The sequence below is a fragment of the Homo sapiens genome, chromosome 11, assembly GCF_000001405.40.
Source record: "Homo sapiens chromosome 11, GRCh38.p14 Primary Assembly".
NCBI classification, from domain to species: Eukaryota; Metazoa; Chordata; class Mammalia; order Primates; family Hominidae; genus Homo; species Homo sapiens.
Genome location: NC_000011.10, coordinates 63,433,495 through 63,438,456, shown reverse-complemented (window position 1 = coordinate 63,438,456; position 4,962 = coordinate 63,433,495). Strand labels below are relative to the sequence as shown.

General features: G+C 41.6%; 2 annotated features.

The window, feature by feature from the left end:
* Nucleotides 2,336-2,887: an enhancer, noted in NCBI's record as "NANOG-H3K27ac-H3K4me1 hESC enhancer chr11:63203042-63203593 (GRCh37/hg19 assembly coordinates)". NCBI's record gives its function as "activates a minimal SCP1, AML or CMV promoter by ChIP-STARR-seq in naive H9 embryonic stem cells {active_cell/tissue: H9 hESC(naive)}" and the evidence as "EXISTENCE:reporter gene assay evidence [ECO:0000049][PMID:30033119]".
* Nucleotides 2,888-3,440: an enhancer, noted in NCBI's record as "NANOG-H3K27ac-H3K4me1 hESC enhancer chr11:63202489-63203041 (GRCh37/hg19 assembly coordinates)". NCBI's record gives its function as "activates a minimal SCP1, AML or CMV promoter by ChIP-STARR-seq in naive and primed H9 embryonic stem cells {active_cell/tissue: H9 hESC(naive and primed)}" and the evidence as "EXISTENCE:reporter gene assay evidence [ECO:0000049][PMID:30033119]".

Sequence of the window (4,962 nt, the reverse complement as noted above, 5' to 3'; positions counted from 1 at the left end):
TGCGTCTATTTGATTCTTCTCTCTTTTTTTCTTTATTAGTCTTGCTAGCGGTCTATCAATTTTGTTTATCCTTTCAAAAATCCAGCTCCTGGATTCATTAATTTTTTGAAGGGTTTTTTCTGTCTCTATTTCCTTCAGTTCTGCTCTGATTTTAGTTATTCCTTGCCTTCTGCTAGCTTTTGAATGTGTTTGCTCTTGCTTTTCTAGTTCTTTTAATTGTGATGTTAGGGTGTCAATTTTGGATCTTTCCTGCTTTCTCTTGTGGGCATTTAGTGCTATAAATTTCCCTCAGCACACTGCTTTGAATGCATCCCAGAGACTCTGGTATGTTGTGTCTTTATTCTCGTTGGTTTCAAAGAACATCTTTATTTCTGCCTTCATTTCGTTAGGTACCCAGTAGTCATTCAGGAGCAGGTTGTTCAGTTTCCATGTAGTTGAGTGGTTTTGAGTGAGATTCTTAATCCTGAGTTCTAGTTTGATTGCAATGTGGTCTGAGAGATAGTTTGTTATAATTTCTGTTCTTTTACATTTGCTGAATAGTCCTTTACTTCCAAGTATGTGGTCAATTTTGGAATAGGTGTGGTGTGGTGCTGAAAAAAATGTATATTCTGTTGATTTGGGGTGGAGGGTTCTGTAGATGTCTATAGGTCTGCTTGGTGCAGAGCTGAGTTCAATTCCTGGGTATCCTTGTTGACTTTCTGTCTCATTGATCTGTCTAATGTTGACAGTGGGGTGTTAAAGTCTCCCATTATTATTGTGTGGGAGTCTAAGTCTCTTTGTAGGTCACTCAGGACTTGCTTTATGAATCTGGGTCCTCCTGTGTTGGGTGCATATATATTTAGGATAGTTAGCTCTTCTTGTTGAATTGATCCCTTTACCATTATGTAATGGCCTTCTTTGTCTCTTTTGATCTTTGTTGGTTTAAAGTCTGTTTTATCAGAGACTAGGATTGCAACCCCTGCCTTTTTTTGTTTTCCATTTGCTTGGTAGATCTTCCTCCATCCTTTTATTTTGAGCCTATGTGTGTCTCTGCATGTGAGATGTGTTTCCTGAATACAGCACACTGATGGGTCTTGACTCTTTATGCAATTTGCCAGTCTGTGTCTTTTAATTGGAGCATTTAGTCCATTTACATTTAAAGTTAATATTGTTATGTGTGAATTTGATCCTGTCATTATGATGTTAGCTGGTTATTTTGCTCGTTAGTTGATGCAGTTTCTTCCTAGTCTCGATGGTCTTTACATTTTGGCATGAATTTGCAGTGGCTGGTACCGGTTGTTCCTTTCCATGTTTAGCACTTCCTTCAGGAGCTCTTTTAGGGCAGGCCTGGTGGTGACAAAATCTCTCAGCATTTGCTTGTCTGTAAAGTATTTTATTTCTCCTTCGCTTATGAAGCTTAGTTTGGCTGGATATGAAATTCTGGGTTGAAAATTCTTTTCTATAAGAATGTTGAATATTTGCCCCCAGTCTCTTCTGGCTTGTAGGGTTTCTGCCGAGAGATCCGCTGTTAGTCTGATGGGCTTCCCTTTGATGGTAACCCGACCTTTCTCTCTGGCTGCCCTTAACATTTTTTCCTTCATTTCAACTTTGGTGAATCTGACAATTATGTGTCTTGGAGTTGCTCTTCTCGAGGAGTATCTTTGTGGCGTTCTCTGTATTTCCTGAATCTGAACGTTGGCCTGCCTTGCTAGATTGGGGAAGTTCTCCTGGATAATATCCTGCAGAGTGTTTTCCAACTTGGTTCCATTCTCCCCATCACTTTCAGGTACACCAATCAGACGTAGATTTGGTCTTTTCACATAGTCCCATATTTCTTGGAGGTTTTGCTCATTTCTTTTTATTCTTTTTTCTCTAAACTTCCCTTCTCACTTCATTTCATTCATTTCATCTTCCATCACTGATACCCTTTCTTCCAGTTGATTGCATTGGCTCCTGAGGCTTCTGCGTTCTTCACGTAGTTCTCGAGCCTTGGCTTTCAGCTCCATCAGCTCCTTTAAGCACTTCTCTGTATTGGTTATTCTAGTTATACATTCTTCTAAATTTTTTTCAAAGTTTTCAACTTCTTTGCCTTTGGTTTGAATGTCCTCCCGTAGCTCAGAGTAATTTGATCGTCTGAAGCCTTCTTCTCTCAGCTCGTCAAAGTCATTCTCCATCCAGCTTTGTTCCGTTGCTGGTGAGGAACTGTGTTCCTTTGGAGGAGGAGAGGCACTCTGCTTTTTAGAGTTTCCAGTTTTTCTGTTCTGTTTTTTCCCCATCTTTGTGGTTTTATCTACTTTTGGTCTTTGATGATGGTGATGTACAGATGGGTTTTTGGTGTGGATGTCCTTTCTGTTTGTTAGTTTTCCTTCTAACAGACAGGACCCTCAGCTGCAGGTCTGTTGGAGTACATTGCCGTGTGAGGTGTCAGTCTGCCCCTGCTGGGGGGTGCCTCCCAGTTAGGCTGCTCGGGGTCAGGGAGCCACTTGAGGAGGCAGTCTGCCGGTTCTCAGATCTCCAGCTGCGTGCTGGGAGAACCACTGCTCTCTTCAAAGCTGTCAGACAGGGACATTTAAGTCTGCAGAGGTTACTGCTGTCTTTTTGTTTGTCTGTGCCCTGCCCCCAGAGGTGGAGCCTACAGAGGCAGGCAGGCCTCCTTGAGCTGTGGTGGGCTCCACCCAGTTGGAGATTCCCAGCTGCTTTGTTTACCTAAGCAAGCCTGGGCAATGGCGGGCGCCCCTCCCCCAGCCTTGCTGCCGCCTTGCAGTTTGATCTCAGACTGCTGTGCTAGCAATCAGCGAGACTCCGTGGGCATAGGACCCTCCGAGCCAGGTGCAGGATATAATCTCGTGGTGCGCCGTTTTTTAAGCCAGTCGGAAAAGCGCAGTATTTGGGTGGGAGTGACCGGATTTTCCAGGTGTGTCTGTCACCCCTTTCTTTGACTCGGAAAGTGAACTCCCTGACCCCTTGCGCTTCCCAAGTGAGGCAATGCCTCGCCCTGCTTTGGCTCGCGCACGGTGCACACACCCACTGACCTGCGCCCACTGTCTGGCACTCCCAAGTGAGATGAACCCGGTACCTCAGATGGAAATGCAGAAATCACCTGTCTTCTGCATCGCTCACGCTGGGAGCTGTAGACAGGAGCTGTTCCTATTCGGCCATCTTGGCTCCTCCCTCCTTTAATCCATCTTGAGCTCATTTTTGTATAAGGTGTAAATGGGTCCAGTTTCTGTTTTCTGCATATGGCTAGCCAGTTTTCCCAGCACCATTTATTGAATAGGGAATCCTTTCCCCATTGCTTGTTTCTGTCAGGTTTGTCAAAGATCAGATGGTTGTAGATGTGTGGTGGTATTTCTGAGGCCTCTGTTCTGTTCCATTGGTCTATATATCTGTTTCATTACCAGTACCATGTTGTTCTGGTGACTGTAGCCTTGTATTATAGTTTGAAGTCAGGTAGCGTGATGCCTTCAGCTTCGTTCTTTTTGTTTAGGATTGTCTTGGTTATATGGGCTCTTTTTTGGTACCACATGAACTTTAAAGTAGTTTTTTCTAATTCTGTGAAAAAAGTCAATGGTAGTTTGATGAGGATAGCACTGAATTTATAAATTATTTGGGCAGTATGACCATTTTCACAATATTGATTCTTTCCATCCATGAGCATGGAAAGTTTTTTCATTTGTTTGTGTCCTCTCTTATTTCCTTGAGCAGTGGTTTGTAGTTCTCCTTGAAGAGGTCCTTCATATCCCTTCTAAGTTGTATTCCTAGGTATTTTATTTTCTTTGTAGCAATTGTGAATGGGAGTTCACTCATGATTTGGCTCTCTGCTTGTCTATTATTTGTGTACAGGAATGCTTTTGAGTTTTGCACGTTGATTTTGTATCCTGAGACTTTGCTGAAGTTGTTTTTCAGCTTAAGGAGTTTTTCGGGCTGAGACAATGGGGTTTTCTAAATATACAATCATGTCATATGCAAACAGAGACAATCTGATTTCCTCTTTTCCTATTTGAATACCATTTATTTATTTCTCTTGCCTGATTGCCTTGGCCACAGCTTCCAATACTATTTTGAATAATAGGAGTGGTGACAGAGGGCATCCTTGTCTTGTGTCAGTTTTCAGAGGGAATGCTTCCAGGTTTTGCCCATTGAGTATGATATTGGCTGTGAGTTTATCATAAATAGCTCTTATTATTTTGAGATGTGTTTAATCAATACCAAGTTTATTGAGTGTTTTTAGCATGAAGGGGTGTTGAATTTTATTGAAGGCCTTTTCTGCATCTATTGAGATAATCATGTGGTTTTTGTCATTGGTTTTGTTTATATGATGGATTACATTTATTGATTTGTGTATGTTGAAGCAGCCTTGCACCCCAGGTATGAAGCCAACTTGATCATGGTGGATAAGTTTTTTAATGTGCTGCTGGATTCTGTTTGCCAGTATTTTATTGAGGATTTTCACATGGATGTTCATCAAGAATATTGGCCTGAAATTTTTTTGTGTGTGTGTCTCTGCCAGGCTTTGGTATCAGGATGATGTTGGCCTCATAAAATGAATTAGGGAGGACTCCCTCTTTTTCTTTTGATTGGAATAGTTTCAGAAGGAGTGGTACAAGCTCCTCCTTGTACCTCTGGTAGAATTCAGCTGTGAATCCATCTGGTCCTGGACTTTTTTTGGTTGGTAGGCTATTAATTATTGCCTCAATTTCAGAGGCTGTTATTGATCTATTCAGGGATTCAAATTCTTCCTGGTTTAGTCTTGGGAGGGTGTATGTGTCAAGGAATTTATCCATTTCTTCTAGATTTTCTAGTTTATCTGTGTAGAGGTGTTTATAGTATTCTCTGATGATAGTTTGTATTTCTGTGGGATCGGTGGTGATATCTCCTTTATAATTTTTTACTGCATCTATTTGAGTCTTCTCTCTTTTCTTCTTTATTAGTTTTGCTCGTAGTCTATCAATTTTGTTGATCTTTTCAAAAAACCAGCTCCTG